General features: G+C 43.4%; 1 protein-coding gene across 4 annotated transcripts in view; it reads left to right on the top strand.

The window, feature by feature from the left end:
- ZNF674 (zinc finger protein 674) overlaps window positions 1–18,628 on the top strand; it is a 47,697-nt gene that overhangs the window by 7,930 nt on the left and 21,139 nt on the right. For 2 of the 4 annotated variants that reach the window (NM_001146291.2, NM_001190417.2), the window contains exons 4-5: window positions 8,583–8,709; window positions 9,047–9,142. In NM_001146291.2, coding sequence (NP_001139763.1) covers window positions 8,583–8,709; window positions 9,047–9,142 — 223 coding nt within the window. Of the gene's footprint in view, window positions 1–8,582; window positions 8,710–9,046; window positions 9,158–18,628 lie in introns of all 4 variants that reach the window. The other 2 variants (XM_011543943.4, NM_001039891.3) reach the window with 1 other exon arrangement.

Genomic DNA, 18,628 nt, shown 5'->3' with positions numbered 1-18,628 from the left:
TTCCTCCCTTTCTGTTGCATTCCAACAAATGAACCCAGTCTCAGCCCTTCTACTGTTTGCCTTTCAGAATTTTTTTGTTTTATATATATACAAAACCACAACATTTTGCATGGGTTGTTTTTAATGAAAATATGCTCCTACTGTGCTTTTCTGAAATTTGCTTTTTTTTTTTTCATTTAGACAAAAGTATCCCAGGCATCCTTATGTGTGAGTCAATTTTTTTTTTGAGACAGAATCTTGCTCTACAGGCTGGAGTACAGTGGTGCGATCTCGGATCACTGCAACCTCCACCTCCCGAGTTCAAGAGATTCTCCTTTCTCAGCCTCCTGAGTAGCTGGGATTACAGGCTCACGCCACCAGGCCCAGCTAATTTTTGTATTTTTAGTAGAGATGGGGTTTTGCCATGTTGGCCAGGCTGGTCTCAAACTCCTGACCTCAGTTGATCCACCTGCCTCGGCCTCCCAAAGTCCTAGGATTACAGGCGTGAGCCACCACACCCGTCCTGTGTGAGTCAATTTTTATCATGACAGTTCCAGAGTATAGATGGAGCAATTTATTTAACTACGCTCTAGTCCTAGTCCACATGCAGATTATTTACCAATCAGGGGTCATTTTTCTCATAAGCAATGTCACCTGGTAATACAGCTGTTGTTCTACCATTTTGGGGTTCCCAGGAACACAGGACATTTGGGTTTTCTTTCTTTTTCTTTTATTTTTTTCTTTTTCCTTTTTTTTGAGACAGAGTCTCACTCTGTTGCCCAGGCTGAAGTGCAGTGGCATGATTTTGGTTCACTGCAACCTCAGCCTCCTGGGCTCATGCAGTTCTTCCACTTTAGCTTCCTGAGTAGCTGGGACTACAGGCACAAACCACCATGCCCGTCTAACTTTTTTTTTTTTTTTTTTTTGAGACGGAGTCTTGCTGTTGCCAGGCTGGAGTGCAATGGCACGATCTCAGCTCACTGCAACCTCTGCCTCCTAGGTTCAAGCGATTCTCCTGCCTCATCCTCCTGAGTAGCTGGGACTACAGGTGCGTGCCACCATGCCCAGCTAATTTTTGTATTCTTAGTAGAGACAGGGTTTCACCATGTTGGCCAGGATGGTCTCGATCTCTTGACCTCGTGATCCGCCTGCCTCAGCCTCCCAAAGTGCTGGGATTATAGGAGTGAGCCACTGCGCCTAGCCCTTTTTTATTTTTGTAGAGATGGGGTTTCACCATGTTGCCCAGGCTGGTTTCAAACTCCTGAGCTCAAGCGATCCACCTGCCTTGGCCTCCCAAAGTGCTGAGATTACAGGTGTGAGCCACTGTGCCAGACCTTTTAGAGCTTTCTTCTACTTTTTGTTAATACGAATAGGACTGCCTTGGACATCCTTATGTACACATAAATATTTCACTAGAATAGAGTCCTGTAAATGCAACTGCTGGTTAAAGTAAGAAACAAATACCTTTAATAGGTATAACCAAATTATGTATCAATCAGCCTTTATATGAGAGTATTTAATTTCTAATACTCTTCATCAGCAGTGACTCTTATGGATAAAAGACAATATCTTATTATTTAATGAGCATATATGTGACTTTTAGTGAGGCTTATAATCTTTTTGTGTTTCTAGGCCTCTAACATTTCTGTTGCTATGAGCATTTTATTCATACTGTTGGGCTGTCTCTTCTTACTGATGTGTTAAAGGTATAGGGTAAAATCCTAGAAAGGTCATTGCTTTGTTAAACGGTATTTGCAATGTAAAATTTGATATATATTAACCAATTATTCCTCCCAAAAATGCTGTAAATAGTTTATAACTTCTTTGGTGTTTTTTCTACATACTTGACTGTACTAAGTATTATTAACCTTTTTAGTTTTTAAGACTATGAAAGGGATACATGGTAAGTTATATATTTATTTTATATTCATTCAGTTATATGTTAGGTTGTGGTCTTTTTCATAATGATTTGTTAGAATTTTAGTGTATAAAGGAAATTAGCCCATTGTTTTGTATATTTCTAATACTTTTCTCACTTTGATATTGATGTTTCATAATATAATTTTTGGCCAAGTGCTGTGGCTCATGCCTGTAACCCCAGCACTTGGAAGGCTGAGGCAGGAGAATTGCTTAAGCTCGGGAATTTGAGACTAGCCTGGGCAACATGGCAAAACCTTGTCTCTACAAAAAATACAAAAATTAGCTGGACGTGGTGGTGCGTGCCTATAGTTCCAGCTACGAGGGAAGCTGAGGTGGGAGGATCGCTTGAGCCCAGGAGGTCGAGGCTGCAGTGATCTGTGAGCATGCCACTGCATTCCAGCCTGGGCAACAACAGCAAAACCCTGTCTCCAAAAAAAAAGAAAAAAAATTCATTCTGCTATTTAGAAATTTCTAATGTCTAGGCAGTCATGTTGATCAGTCTGTGACTGTATGTCTTCTGAATTTGGGGATTGCTTAGAAAGGCTTTTAGCCGGCTGGAAGCGGTGGCTCACACCTGTAATCCCAGCACTTTGGGAGGTTGAGGTTGGTGGATCACTTGAGGTTAGGAGTTCGAGACCAGCCTGGCCAACATGGTGAAACACCGTCTCTACTAAAAATACAAAAATTAGTTGGGTATGGTGGCGGGTGCCTGTAGTCCCAGCTACTTGGGAGGCTGAGGCAGGAAAATCACTCGAACCCAGGAGGCAGAGGTTGCAGTGAGCTGAGATCACAACACTGCACTCCAGCCTGGGCAACAGAGTGAGACTATGTCTTGAAAAAAAAAACACAGAAAAGAAAGGCTTTTAGCCACTGTAAAATTATAAAAACTTTGATCTATTTTATGGTTATCTTGTACACATTTAAATCTCTAAGGCTGGGTGCGGTGGCTCACACCAGTAATTCCAGCAATTTGGGAAGCTGACACGGGTGGATCATTTGAGCTCAGAAGTTCGAGACCAGCCTGGCAATATGGTGAAACCTCGTTTCTACAAAAAATACAAAAATTAGCTGGGTGAGGTGGCGTGTGCCTGGAGTCCCAGATACTTTGCGGGGCTGAGGCAGGAGGATCACTTGAGTTCAGGAGGATCGCTTGAGCCCGGGAGGTTGAGGCTGCAGTGAGCCATAATCTCACCACTGCACTCCGGCCTGGATGACAGAGGGAGACCTGTCTCATCCCTGTGTAATTTATTTGAGGGTTCAGAGTGAGATGGGTAATTCAGTTTTATTGAGTTATTTTCCTCCATAAATACCTAGCCAGAAGATATGGTTTGGCTGTGTCCCCACCCAAAATCTCATCTTGAATTGTAATCCCCACGTGTCAAGGGCGGGACCAGGTGAAGGTAATGGGTCATGGGGGCGGTTTCCCCCATGCTGTTCTCATGATAATAAGTGAGTCTCATGAGAGCTGATGGTTTTATAAGCTTCTGGCATTTCCCCTGCTTGCACATCTCCTTCCTGCCACCTTGTAAAGAAGGTGTCTTGCTTCCCCTTCACCTTCCGCCATGAGTGTAAATTTTCTGAGGCCTCCCCAGCCATGCTGAACTGAGTCAATTAAACCTCTTTCCTTTATAAATCAGCCAGTCTCAGGTATGTCTTTATCAACAGCATGAGAACGGACTAATCCACCAGATTTTCCTAATGTCATCTTTTCTGCATAGATTTTATGTGTGTGTGTGTGTATATATATATATATATATATATATTTTTTTTTTTTTTTTTTTGAGACAGGGTCTCACTCTATCACCCAGGCTGGAGGACTGGAGTGCAGTGGCATGATCTCGGCTCACTGCAACCTCCACCTCCCGGGTACAAGCGATTCTCCTGCCTCAGCCTCCTGAGTAGCTGGGATTATAGGTGATTCTCCTGCCTCAGCCTCCCGAGTAGCTGGGATTATAGGCGTGCACCACCACACCTGGCTAATTTTTGTATTTTTAGTAGAGACAGGGTTTCTCCATGTTGGCCAGGCTGGTCTCGAACTCCTGACCTCAAGTGATCCACTCGCCTCGGACTCCCAAAGTGCTGGGATTTCAGGTGTGAGCCACCGTGTCTGGCTGATTTATTTTTGCTGTAACCAGCCAGTGGGTTATTCCCACCCACTGCACAGTCAAAACCAATTCACTGAGACCACGGCATTGCAATAAAGAGTTTAATTGATGTAAGTCTGGCCATGCCACATGGGAGATGGAGTTATTACTCAAATCAATCTCCGAAAATTTGGAGGGTAGGGTTTTTCAAGGATAGTTTGGTAGGCCATGGATTCAGCTTCTGGGTGGGGCCATAGGACCGGTTGGTGGAGGTTGGCCAGTCCTGGTGGAGCCACTGGTCGTCAGAAATGCAAAAACTTGAAAAAATGCCTCAAAAGGCCAATCTTAGGTTCTATAATGGTGATATTATCTGCGGGAGTAATTGGGGAGTTCCAAATCTTGTGACCTCCGGAATAATAGCTGGAAATCTTTTATGTCTACATGTTAGCAGATTTTAGCCTCCTCATATCCTCCTAACCTTGTGGCCTCTCAGCTTTACAAAGGTGGTTGAGTTTTGCAGAAGGCTATTATAAGCTTGTCCAACCCACAGCCCATGAGCCACATGCGGCCCAGGATGGCTTTGAATGCGGCCCAATACAAATTTGTAAACTTTCTTAAAACATTATGAGACTTATTGTGACTTTTTTTGTGATTTTTATTTTTTAGCTCATCGGCTATCTTTAGTGTTGGTGTATTTTATATGTGGCCCAAGACAATTCTTCCAATATGGCCCAGGAAAGCCAAAAGATTGGACACCTGTGGTCTATTATCTTTTAAACTATAAAACAAATGTCTCTCAAAGTTTTCTTGGGCCAGGCCGAGGAATGATTAAGGGTAATTTGGAGGTTAAAGGCAAGATAGGGGTTGGTTAGATCAGATCTCTTTCAATGTCATAATTTTCTCACTCTTACAATTTTTGTGAAGGCAGTATCATTCTTTTTTGAACTTGACACTGCGTGGTTTATTTAGTCCAATAATTTTTTTTGCGACTTAACGAGACAAAGGGTTTAAACTCCATTGATGTTTTTTCTCTCTCTCTAATGATGAATTTACCAAAACACAAAGATATGTGACACAATGAATTGCTCATGTTTTAAACTAAGAACTATGTTTTTTCTCTTTGCTATATGATTAGTAGAATGAGTCAGTTCCCAAGACATGACCAGTTTCAAAGTGGAGTGAAAATGCAGAGGTTTTCTGCATGATACTTCTCAAAGTCACCAGGAGACTATTAAAAGATTTGAGATGAAGTAACACAGTAGTAAGATTCCTAATAGAGGAGGTTTAGTTGTTAAGAGAGTCACATACATACTTTGTTTTGTTTTGTTTTTTGTTTTTTTGAGACGGAGTTTTGCTCTTGTTGCCCAGGCTGGAGTGCAGTGGCGTGATCTCGGCTCATCACTGCAACCTCCACCTTCTGGTTTCAAGCGATTCCCCTGCCTCAGCCGCCTGAGTAGCTGGGATTACAGGCGCCCGCCACCACGCCTGGCTAATTTTTGTATTTTTAGTAAAGACGGAGTTTCATCATGTTGGCCAGGCTGGTCTCGAACTCCTGACCTCGTGATTCGCCTGCCTCGGCTTCCCAAAGTGCTGGGATCACAGGCGTGAGCCACCGCGCCTGGCCACATACATATGTTTTATTTTTTTTAATTTATTTTATTTTATTTTATTATTTTTTATTATACTTTAAGTTCTAGGGTACATGTGCACAGGCAGTATCATTTTTATGAAGTAACCTCTGACACTCTACTCAGAGGATCTGTTAGTGGTTATTAACTTTCATCATCATTGTCATATTTAGCTGTGTGTGACTAGAAACGTGACAGTGGAATGATGGCTGTTTTACTGGGTCTGAGAGATAAGGAAGGAAACCCAAGTTTTTCCTACTGTCTACTCTCACTTGACACAACACTCCTGACACGAGATGTAATCCCAGGCCCCAGGCTGTTTACCCAAATACCAAGTCATTCTCCAGTGGACACCAGCTGGGTCTCCTCTAAGTCAATTCCATTCTGACACCATCTACCTGGAGTTAGCGTCAGCTCCCACAGGTTGAGGCTTAGTCCCACAAGACTACCCCCACCTGAGATGCCAGTCTCGAGTAGGGTATCATCTATACATCTGATTGATGGGACACAAATCAGGGGTTCCCTTGACTCCCTCCTGGTGTTTGATTAATTTGCTAGAGTGAGTCACAGAACTAACGGAAACTGAATTTCCCCTATTTGTTATAAAGGATATTACAGAAGATACAGATGAACCGCCAGATGGAAGAGATGCATAGGGCAAGGGATGTGGGAAGGTCCACAGACCTTTCATGCCCTCTCTGGACTCACTACCATCCGGGAACCACCAAGTGTTCAGCTGTGTGGAAGCTGTCTGAACCCACCCAGCCCTTTGGTTGTTGTCCTTGTTGTTGTTTTTGAGAAACAAGGTCTTGCTCTGTCCCCCAGGCTGGAGAACAGTGGTGCAGTCTTGGCTCACTGCAGGCCCAACCTCCTGGCCTCAAGTGATCCTCCCTTCTCAGCCACCCTTAGTGCTGGGATCACAGGAGCCAGCCACCACACCCAGCCACAGTGGGGTTTTTCGGAGGCTTCATCACAGAGGCATGATCATCATTGGCCCTTGGTGATCAACTCAACCTTCATCTCCTCTCCCCTCCCAGGAGTTTTGAGGATGGAGATGAAATTCCCAACCTTCTAATCCTGTCTGGTTTTCTGGTGACCAGCTTCCATCCAGAAGCTACCTAGGGGCAGCCAGCTAACAGTCATCTCATTAGCATATAAAAGACACTTTGATCACTTCAGAGGCTATTCCAAGGGTTGCAGGAGCTTCTTGCCAGGAGACAGGACAAAAACCAAATATATATTTCACAATATCAAACCAGGTGACATTACTCCAGATAAAATTGACTCTGGATTGGTTAAACAAACTGCATCTGGACTGGAGGACTGAGTAAACTATGACTGGCTGGTAGGAAGCCATGGATTGGGGTTTTCTGAGCACATTGTCACTCAGTGATATGTAACTGGGCCCATCTTTTGCTGGGATCCTCGAAGCCATGCCACTGGGACCATTACAAGAGATACTGGTCTATGGAACAGGTTAGGGCTTCCAAGCAACATCATCCTAGCACTCCGCAGTGTGGTTTTGTTCCCCAGCACCGGAGCTATCACGAGGGAGGGGCAGATTGGGCTAACAGCTCCTGGATTGCTCTGAGAAGCCCTCCTGCTGGAGAAACCTGCCTGTCCCCGCCCTCTGGCACACTGGCTTTCCTGCCCCTCTCCTGCACAGCTGGGTAAACTGGTGCCACTGTGGCTGATTTGGGCCTTATGGGTGCAGCGAGTGGCTTGAATTGAAGGCCACCAAGTGTGGGCGTTACAGGATAGGATCTGGAGCAGAAACAGGCGGGTTATTAGTCTTTGCAAGGAATTGGGGGCACTTGTAGAAGTGAGTTCTTGTTTGGTGGTGACAAGGCCAAGCACAGACCTTTCCCCTTTTGCTTCAGTCAGCTGCCCAGGCCACAAACCTCTGGCTTCCTGTTCTTTGTTTCATGATTGATGAGTGAAGGTTAGAACGGTTTGTCATGATTGATTAGCTATGTTTAGAACTGTTTGTTGTAGCTCTGTGTCCCCTGCAAGGCCTGCTCTGTCAGCGCTAAGCAGAATTGACTTCTTCCTTTGTGGACAACCCGGACCCCGTCCTACATCTGTCACTGTCCCTGTGAGGCAGGCTTCCTCGCTGCCTCTGTTTCTTCTATGAGTGTCTAAGTGTCGCTTTTCTCCCTCCACTAAACTGAAGCTCCTTGAGTTTAAGAGGTGTCTTTTTTTTTTTTTTTTTGAGATGGAGTCTCGCCCTGTTGCCCAGGCTGGAGTGCAATGGCGTGATCTTGGCTCACTGCATCCTCCGCCTCCTGGGTTCAAACGATTCTCCTACGCCAGCCTCCCGAGTAGCTGGGATTACAGGTGCCCGCCACCATGCCCAGCTATTTTTTGTATTTTTAGTAGAGATGCGGTTTTACCATATTGGCCAGGCTGGTCTTGAACTCCTGACCTTGTGATCCGCCCGCCTAGGCCTCCCAAAGTGCTGGGATTACAGGCGTGAGCCATCACGCCCGGCCAAGGTGTCATTTTGTATCAATCTTTATGTCACAGGACTTACCAGCCTGGCCTCTATTCAGTAAACATGTGTTGAATGAATGAATTTCCAGGGTAAGATATTTCTCATACTCTATCTCTTTCTCCTATAAAGTTCAAAATGATTTTAGTCATATACTCTATGTAATATGCTATGCCAAACTGACTAGTGACTGGCATAAGAACAGTTATATAAAGAAAGGCCAGCGTGGATGCGGGAGCCAGACTGCGTGGATTCGAATCCCTCATTCCTGGCTGTGTGACCTGGACTGGTTATTTAGGCTCTGTGTGCCTCACACTCTTCATCTGTCAAGTTCCTTCTAGGGTGGCGGCGAAGACTGAAATCTTTAGTACATGTAAAGGACCTCAAAGGGCACAGAGTAAGCCCTCCGTGTGTGTGAGGTGCCATGTCCCAGTGCCCCAGGCTGGTCCTGGGGTGCTAAAGAGGAATGTGCCGTTACAGGAATCATTGACCTTCAAGGACGTGTTTGTGGACTTCACCCTGGAGGAGTGGCAGCAACTGGACTCTGCCCAGAAGAACCTCTACAGGGATGTCATGCTTGAGAACTACAGCCACCTGGTGTCCGTGGGTGAGGGACCGCGCCACAGGGTGATGCAGAATGCCTCCAGTACTGTGTTTCTTTCTCAGCTGCTCCAAGCTCTGGGGCCTAGGAACAATGAGTGTGGGTTACCACCCTCAGTGAGTTTGGGTTACTGCCCACTGTGTAGTATTTGTAGTCTCCTTTGGACACTGGAGAGCATATTGGTGCCCTTGCTTGCTATGTGAATGTTCTGTACTGAGGGGCAGATAGCTGTGTGCATGGGGCCATCACCGAGGCCGTGCCACCTTCAGCCTGCAGGGGTGGGCCTAGGTTCTGGAATTCCTCAGCATTAATAACAAAGTCCTATGTCATGTCCCCTAAACAGGGCATCTAGTTGGGAAGCCAGATGTGATCTTCAGGTTGGGACCAGGTGACGAGTCCTGGATGGCAGATGGAGGGACCCCGGTACGGACCTGTGCAGGTGAGGACAGGCCAGGTGAGTCAGGCCAGGGAAAAGGGACCAGGTTGGTTGGTGAGAGCTTGGCCTCTGGGATGTGCTCAGGAGCTCTTCTCAGAGCCTCGGACTTGTGGACATGCCTAGGCTCTGATGAGCAGAACTGTTGTCATGTCCAAATGAGGCTTCTGCCTGGCCGCCGGTTACAGGCTCTGTGTTCTTTGCTTGGCATTCACATAGATTGTGGCCACTCTTGTTCTGAGATCCCATTTCTACCTTCCAGCCTCCTGGCTTGTTAGTGAGAAGTGCCAAGCCCCTTCTCATTCCTCTCACCCTGTCCTTTCTGGAAGCTTTTAGAACTTTTTCTCCCTTCTTGTGCTTATGTATTTTTACCAGACTAGATGCAAATGTCAGCATTTCCTCTTTATTGGGCATACTGTGGGCCCTTTCAGGCTGAAAGTTGGAGTCTTTTTTTTTTTTTTAGACTCAAGGAAATTATCATACATTATTTTTTGGAGTTGGTATAGGCAACAAAGCTTTGCTGGTGACCTTTACTCTACCCAGCCTGGTACCCACCATGTTCTTGCCTGCTCTTATTTTGTGGTAAACACTGTAAACCTCACACTGTTTTCTATTTTCTCTTTGTATTCCTTCCCAGACTCTTACAAATCTGACTTGATGCCACCTGTTTTCAGATTCCTCCTGTTTTCAGTACCTTCCTCCCACTCAACTCTTGTTTTTTATATTATCTCTTTATTTATTCAAAAATAAACTTGAGAGAACATTATTCCCAGGTTGGAATACTTTATAAAACACTGCTAAACTGTTTTCCAACATGGCTATACCACTTTTTTTTTCCGCTAGCAATGTATGTGAGTTCCACGTGTTTCACATCCTTGCCAGCACTTGGTATTGTTAGTGTTAGTCCTTTTTTCTAGTAGGTGTGTAGGGGGATCTCATTGTGATTTAATTTTGCATTTTTCTAATGATGAATATTGTTGAGCCCTTATTTGCTATCTTTATATCTTCTTTGTGGAAGTATTTGTTGTAATCTTTTGCCATTTTTCTTTGCTATTAAATTGTAAGGTTCTTTATATATCTTTTTTTTTTTTTTGAGATGGAGTCTTGCTCTGTTGCCCAGGCTGGAGTGCAGTGGTGCAATCTCAGCTCACTGCAACCTCGCCTCCTGGGTTCAAGCAAGTCTCCTGCCTCAGCCTCCCGAGTAGCTGGGATTACAGGCACCCGCCACCATGCCCAGCTAATTTTTGTATTTTTAGTAGAGACGAGGTTTTGCCATGTTGGCCAGGCTGGTCTCGAACTGACCTCAGGTGATTCACCTGCCTTGGCCTCCTGGAGGGCTGGGATTACAGGTGTGAGCCACTGTGCCCAGCAGGTTCTTTATATATTCTTGATGCAAGTCCTTTAAGTATGTACTCCCAGATTATGGCTTCTTTTTTTCTTAACTGTGCTTTGTAGAGTAGACGTTTTTAATTTTGATAAGGCTGAGTTTATCAAGTTCTTTTATGGTTCATGCCTTTTGTATCCTATCTAACAAATCTCTGACTCAGAGCAATGGAGATTTTTCTCCTATGCCTTCTTTCAGAAGATTTATAATTTTAGCTCTTAAATTTAGACCTATGACAAAGAATGAGTTAAGTTTGTAAATCTGACATGAGGTGAGGGTCAGGGGGCTTTTTGCATATGTATATCCAATTTTTCCAGCAGCAGTTTTGAAAATACTCTTCGTTGTTGTTGTTGTTGTTGACTTACTTTGCCATCGTTGCTGATAACCTTTGAATGGCCGGGCACAGTGACTCAGACTTGTAATCCAAGCACTTTGGGAGGCTGAGGTGGGAGGATCAGTTGAGCCTAGGAGCTTGAGACTAGCCTAGGCAACATAGTGAGCCCCCGTGTATAAAATATTTAAAAAATTTGCCAACCATGATGGCATGCACTTGTACTCCCCACTACTTGGGAGGTTGAGGTGGGAGGATTGCTTGAGCACGAGAGGACGAGGCTGCAGTGAGCCGTGATCACGCCACTGCCACTCCAGCCTGGGGTATAGCAAGACCCTGTCTCAAAAAAAACCAAACAGTTGAACAGAGATGTGTCTGTCTATACATCATTAATACACTGTTTAATTACTGTAGCCTAACATTAAGTGTTCAAATCAGGAAGTATGAGTTTTCCAACTTTGTTCTTCCTTTCCTAATGTTTTGCCTATTCTAGGTCCTTGGTATTTTTATATAAATCTTAGAATCAGCTTGTGAATTTGTACACAAAAGCCCGCAGGGATTTTTGTATGGGATTACACTGAATCTGTGGATCATTGATATACTGACAATATTGAGTCTTCCAATTAATGAATAGCATGTATCTCTATTTAGATCTTCTTAAATTTTATCTCAATGTTTTGTAGTTTTGAATGCATAAGTCTTTCACATTTTGTTTAATTAATACCAGCTTTTTTTGTTCTTATAAGATACTATAAGTGGTATTTTGTTTAATTTCAATTTCCCATTGGCCAGTACTATCTTATAGAAATGCCATTGATTTTTGTATATTGATCTTGTACCCTGGGACCTTTCTAAGTGTACATATTAAAACTTGTAACTTTTTTGTAGATAGCTTGTAACTTTTTTGTAGATAGCTTGACATTTCCTATGTAAACAATCATGTAGTTGTAAATAAAGACAGTTTTATTTCTTCCCTTCCAATCTGGATGTCCTTTACTTCTTTTTTTGCCCTCTTTTTTTTTTTTGAGAAGGAGTTTCGCTTTTGTTGCCCAGGCTGGAGTGCAATGGTATGATCTTGGCTTACCACAACCTCCGCCTCCTGGGTTCAAGCGATTCTTCTGCCTCAGCCTCCCAAGTAGCTGGGATTACAGGCATGCACCACCATGCCCAGCTAATTTTTTTTTTTTTTTTTGTATTTTTAGTAGAGATGGGGTTTCTCCATGTTCATCAGGCTGGTCTCGAACTCCCAGCCTCAGGTGATCTGCCTGCCTCGGCCTCCCAAAGTGCTGGGATTACAGGTATGAGCCACCATGCCCGGCCTCTTTTTGCCATTTTTTACTGGCTAGGATCTTTAGTATTGTGTTGAATAGGCATAGTGAGAATGACTTCTTTGCTTTATTCCTGATTTTAGGGCAAAAGTACTCACTTTCTCATCATTAAGTATAATTTTTTATTTGTAGAGTTTTCCATTGGTGGGCTGACAATGCTTGAGGATTATTCCTTTTAATCTTAGTTTTTTGAATTTTTATCATGAATTGATGCTGAATGTTGCAAATGCTTTTTCTGCATCAATGAATATGATCATACTTCTTCTCCTTTATTTTTAAATTAATTAATTATTATTATATTTAGAGATGGAGTCTCGTTCTGTTCCCAAGGCTGGAGTGCAGTGGTATGGTCATAGCTCATTGCAGCCTCGAACGCCTGTGCTGAAGTGATCTTCCTGCCTTAGCCTCCAGAGTAGCTGGGACTACAGGCATGTACCACCATGCCCAGCTATTTTTTAAATTTTTTGTAAAGATGAGGTCTTGTTGTGTTGCCCAGACTGGTCTTGAACTCCTGGCCTCAAGTGATCCTCCATCTCAGCCTCCCAAAGTGCTGGGATTACAGGTGTGAGCTACCATGCCTAGTCAATTTGCAGATTTTTCTTTTTTTTTTTTTTCTTTTTTTCTTTTCGAGACGGAATCTCTGTTGCCCAGGCTGGAGTGCAGTGGCACGATCTCAGCTCACTGCAACCTCCACCTCCCAAGTTCAAGCGTTTCTCCCACCTCAGCATCCCTGGGATTACAGGCACCTGCCACCATGCCTGGCTAATTTTTTTTGTGTGTATATATATAGAGACGGGGTTTCTTCGTGTTGGTCAGGCTGGTCTCGAACTCCCCTGACCTCAGGTGATCCACCCGCTTTGGCCTCACAAAGTGCTGGGGTTACAGGTGTGAGCCACCATGCCTAGCCAATTTGCAGATACTGAACCAGCCTTTCATTACCTGTGTAAACCCCTCTTGATAATGACCTATCATTCCTTTGATATGCTCCTATTTATTTTTGCTCATATTTTGTTATTTTGCATCTATGCTATGTGTCATAATCATTTGTAGTTTTCTTCACTTACACTGTTTGTGTCTGGTTTTGACGTCAGGGTTATGCTGGCCTCATAAAATGAGTTGGGAAGTGTTTCCTCCTCTTCTGTTTTCTGAAATTTATATAGGACTAGCATTATTTCTTAAATGTTCTGTAGACTTCATCAGTGAAAACATCTGGGCCTAGAGTTTTCTTGGAGGGTAAGTTTTGAACTACAAATTCTTTTTTTTTTTTTTTGAGATGGAGTTTTGCTCTTGTCGCCCAGGCTGGAGTGCAATGGCACGATCTCGGCTCACCACAACCTCTACCTCTTGGTTCGAGCAATTCTCTTGCTTCAGCCTCCTGAGTAACTGGGAATACAGGCAAACGCCACCATGCCCAGCTAATTTTTGTGTTTTTAGTAGACACAGGGTTTCACCATGTTGGCCAGGGTGGTCTCAGACTCCTGATGTCAGGTGATCTACCAGCCTCGGCTTCTCAAAGTGCTAGGATTACAGGTGTGAGCCACTGCACCCGGCTACAAATTTGTTTTTTTATAATTATAGGTATATTCAGATAACTCTTTTCTTCTTGAGCAAGCTTTGGTGGTTTGTGGCCTGGAAGGAATTTGTCTCATCTAAACTACCAAGTTTTTGATATAAAGTTTTTTTTGGCCAGGTGGGGTGGCTCACGCCTGTAATCCCAGCACTTTGGGAGGCCTAGGCAGACGGATCTCGAGGTCAGGAGTTCAAGACCAGCCTGGCCAACATAGTGAAACCCTGTCTCTACTAAAAATACAAAAATTAGCCGGGCATGGTGACACGTGCCTGTAGTACCGGCTACTCGGGAGGCTGAGGCAGGAGAATCGCTTGAAACCGGGAGGCGGAGGTTGCAGTGAGCCAAGATCGTGCCACTGCACTCTAGCTTGGGCAACAGAGTGAGACTTCATCTCAAAAAAATAAAGAAATAAAATAAAATAAAGTTTTTTTCATAAGATTTCCTTATTATTTTTTAATATTTGTAGGATCTGTAATGTTGTTCTCCTGATATTGATAATGTATGTTTTTTCTTGATCAGTCTGACTTAAGATTTATCCATTGTATTGATCTTTTCACAGAACCAGCTTTTGATTGTGTTTATTTTTGTGTTTTTCATTTTCTATTTCTTTGAGATAGAAAGAAATCCTTATTGATTACTATATCTTGCATACAGAAGAGCATTTAGAACACGTGCGTACTTTTCAGAAGAAATATATAGCTAACACCTGGATAATCACCACTCAGGTTGAGAACTACGACTCTACCCCTTCCAGATGGCATCCTCCTACCTCTCTCCTGGATGTAACCTGTATCCCAAATTCGGGGGTAATTATTTTTAAGATTTTTGTTAGAGCTTCTGCTATCTATATTTGTATACACAGGCAATATATTGTTTAGTTTGAACTTTTCTTTTTTGAGCTTTGTAAAAACAGAATCATCCATATGAATTATTTTGTGACTTATTTCTTTTATTCACTACTATAGTTGTGAGATTCAGCCATGATGTTTATTTTCATTGCAGGATAGTGTTCTAGTTTGGGTATCACACAATTAAAAGTACCTACTCTTCTCTCTTTTAAGTTATTTATTTATTTTTTAGAGACAGGGTCTCACTCTGCTACCTAGGCTGGAGTGCAGTGGTGTGATCATAGCTCATTGCAGGCTTGAACTCCTGGGCTTAAGCAATCCTCCTGCCTCAGCCTCCTGAGTAGACAGTACTATAGGCATGTGCCACTGTGCTCAGCTATTCTTGTTTTTCATATAGAGATGGGGTCTCGTTATGTCACCTAGGCTGGTTTTGAACTCTTGGCCTCAAGCAGTCCTCCTGTCTTGGCCTCCTAAAGTGTGGGATTACAGGTATTAGCCACTGCACTCAGCCAGTATTTACTCTCTTGATGGTGTTTGGGTTGTTTCCGGTTTAAGGCTAGTATAGTTAATGATAATACTGCCATTATTTTACATGTTTGCTAGGAACATTTGCTGTGAGAGCTTTCCTATGTATATACCTAGGTTGTGGTGTCTGGGTTCTGGAGGTGTGAATAATTTATAGATAAGGCCAAATGTTGTTGGTTTGTAAAACATTTGTAGATGCTCCCTCCGTGCCACTTCTGCTTGTCAGACTTTTATTTGTTCCCATTCTGGTAGGTGTGTATTAGTATCTTATTGTGATTGAAACTTTCATTTCCTTGATTAGTAATGTAATTGATCCTCATTTCATATTTTATAGAGAACTTGAGTGACTTGTGTAAATCTTACACGGTGCCTGCGTAAGTCTTCAACTCATTTATTTCTTATGGTATGTGCCTTCCTCCTACTTATTCATAGCACTCTTTTCTTTTCTTTTCTATTCTATTCTATTCTTTTCTTTTTTTTTGAGACAGAGTCTTGCTCTGTCGCCCAGGGTAGAGTGCAGTGGGGAGATCTCAGCTCACTGCAGCCTCTGCCTCCTGGGTTGAAGCAATTCTCCTGCCTCAGCCTCCCGAGTAGCTGGGATTGCAGGCATGTGCCACCATACCCGGCTAATTTTTGTATTTTTAGTAGAGATGGGGTTTTGCCATGTCAGCCAGGCTGGTCTTGAACTCCTGGCCTCAGGTGATCCACCTCCCCCCCCTCCCCCGCCTTGGCCTCCCAAAGTACTGGGATGACAGGTGTGAACCACTGCGCCCGGCCCATAGTACTATTTTCTTTCTTTTTTTCGAGACAGTGTCTCACTTTGTTGCCCAGGAAATCATGGCTCACTGCAGCCTCAACCTCCTTGGGCTCAGGTGATCCTACTTCCTCATCAGCATCCTGAGTAGCTGGTACTACAGGCATGCACCACCACACCTAGCTAATATTTGTATTTTTTTGTAGAGATGGGGTTTTGCCGTGTTGCCTAGACTGGTCTCAAACTCCTGGGCTCAAGCGATCCACCTGCCTCAGTCTCCCAAAGTGTTAGGATTACAGGCATGAGACACCATGCCTAGTGGCACTATTTTCGGTAGAGTACATATTAATCAATGCTTTATTGCAAGCATACTGTCCCTTTGTTAGATTGTCTTTTTTTTTTTTTTTTTTTGAGATAGAGTCTTGCTTTGTCACCCAGGCTGGAGTGCAGTGGTGTGATCTTGGCTCACTGCAACCTCCACCTCCTGAGCAACCTCCACCTCCCGGGCTCAAGCGATTCTTCCGCCTCAGTCTCCCAAGTAGCTGGGATTAGAGGCATGCACCACCATGCCCAGCTAATTTTTTGTATTTTAGTAGAGATGGGATTTCACCATGTTTCCCAGGCTGGTCTCAAACTCCTGAGCTCAGGCAATACACCCACCTCGGCCTCCCAAAGTGCTGGGATTAGAGTCGTGAGCCACTGCGCCCAGTCTAGATTGTCTTTTCACTGTCTTTCTTGTGTCTCTTGTTGAACACAGATTCTTTATATTTAAATTGCGTTTCTTGTAGACATGATATAGTTGAATCTTGTGTGTTTAATCTCAACTGACAATCTGCCTTTTAATTGGTGTGTTTTTGTAATTATTGATATTGTTGGATGTAGGTCTACCATTTTATTATTTCTTTCTTCTTTGTCCCCCTTTTGCTGATTGTTGTTATTCTATTTTCCCATTCCTCTCTTCTTTGGAACATTTGAATATTTTCTTAAACTTTTTGTTTTGAGATCATTATACATTCTCATGCACTTGTAAGAAGTAATACAAAGAGATCGTAATGTACCCTTTATCCAATTCCCCCCATTGGTAGGTAACATCTTGCAGAACTGTAGTACAGTATCCCAACCAGGATATTGACATCTATACAGATCAAATATGGAACATTTCTGTCACTGCAAGGATCCCTCATGTCACTCTTTTTATTATTTATTTATTTATTTTTGAGATGGATTCTCGCTCTGTGGCCCAGGCTGGAGTGCAATGGTGCGATCTGGTCTCACTGCAACCTCTGCCTCCTGGGTTCAAGCAATTCTCCTGTCTCAGCCTCCCGAGTAGCTGGGATTACAGGCACCCGCCACCACCTGGCTAAGTTTTGTATTTTAGTAGAGATGGGGTTTCACCATGTTGGCCAGGCTGGTCTCGAACTCCTGACCTCAAGTGATCTGCCCAACTTGGCCTCCCAAAGTGCTGGGATTACAGGCGCGAGCCACCACACCTGACCGTCACTCTTTTATAGTCATACCGATTTTCTCCCAGCCCATCTCCTCTTATAGCCTGGTAACTACTAATATGTTCTCTGTTTCTATAATTTTGTCATTTGAAAAATGTTATATAATGGAATCATACTGTATGTAACCTTAAGGGATTAGTTCTTTTTCACTCAGCATAATCCTCCAGAGATTCGTTCAGGTTGTTGTATGTATCAAGCTTGATTCTTTTTATTGCTGAGTAGCATTCCATGGTATGCATGTTTGTTTAACCGTTCACCTGTTGAAGGACATCTAGGTTGTATCCAGTGTTGGGCTATTACGAATAAATTTGCTACAAACATTTCTCTGTAGGTTTTTGTAATAAGTTTTTATTTCCCTGGGATGAATTTCCAGTAGTGCAATTATAATTTAAATATTATATTTTAAACATACCTCTTTACTGTTTGTCACTGTCTCCTTGTTTTTAAATTAAATTTTTATGTATGTATGTATTTATTTTTATTTATTTATTTTTTTTTTTTTTGAGAGCGAGTCTCGCTCTGTCGCCCAGGCTGGAGTGCAGTGGCACAATCTTGGCTCACTGCAAGCTCCACCATCCTGGTTCAAGCGATTCTCCTGCCCCAGCCTCCCAAGTAGCTGGGACTACACATGCACACTGCCATACCCAGCTAATTTTTGTATTTTTAGTAGAGACGGGGTTTCACCATGTTGGCCAGGCTGGTCTCGAACTCCTGACCTCAAGTGATCCACCCGCCTCAGCCTCCCAAAGTGCTGGGATTCCAGGCATGAGCCACCACACCTGGCCTATCTATCTATCTATCTATCTATCTATCTATCTATCTATCTATCTATCTATCATCTATCTTTATCTATCTATCTATCTATCTATCTATCTATCTATCTATCTATCTATCTATCTAATCTATCTGAGATGGTGTCTCGCTCTGTTGCCCAGGCTGGAGTGCAGTGGTGCAATCTTGGCTCACTGCAACCTCTGCCTCCTAGGTTCAAGCGTTTCTCCTTTCTCAGCCTCCCGAGTAGCTGGGACTACAGGCACACACCACCACGCCCAGCTAAGTTTTGTATTTTTAGTATACACGAGGTTTCACCATATTGGTCAGGCTGATCTTGAATTCTGACCTCAGGTGATCCACCCACCTCAGCCTCCCAAAGTGCTGGGATTACAGGCGTGAACCACTGTGTCCTGCCCTATTTATTTATTTATTTATTTATTTATTTAGAGACGGAGTCTCGCTCTGTCACCCAG

This window comes from Homo sapiens, chromosome X, assembly GCF_000001405.40.
Source record: "Homo sapiens chromosome X, GRCh38.p14 Primary Assembly".
NCBI lineage: Eukaryota > Metazoa > Chordata > Mammalia > Primates > Hominidae > Homo > Homo sapiens.
Note: the sequence above shows the minus strand (reverse complement) of the source record. Positions and strands in the feature narration are given on the sequence as shown.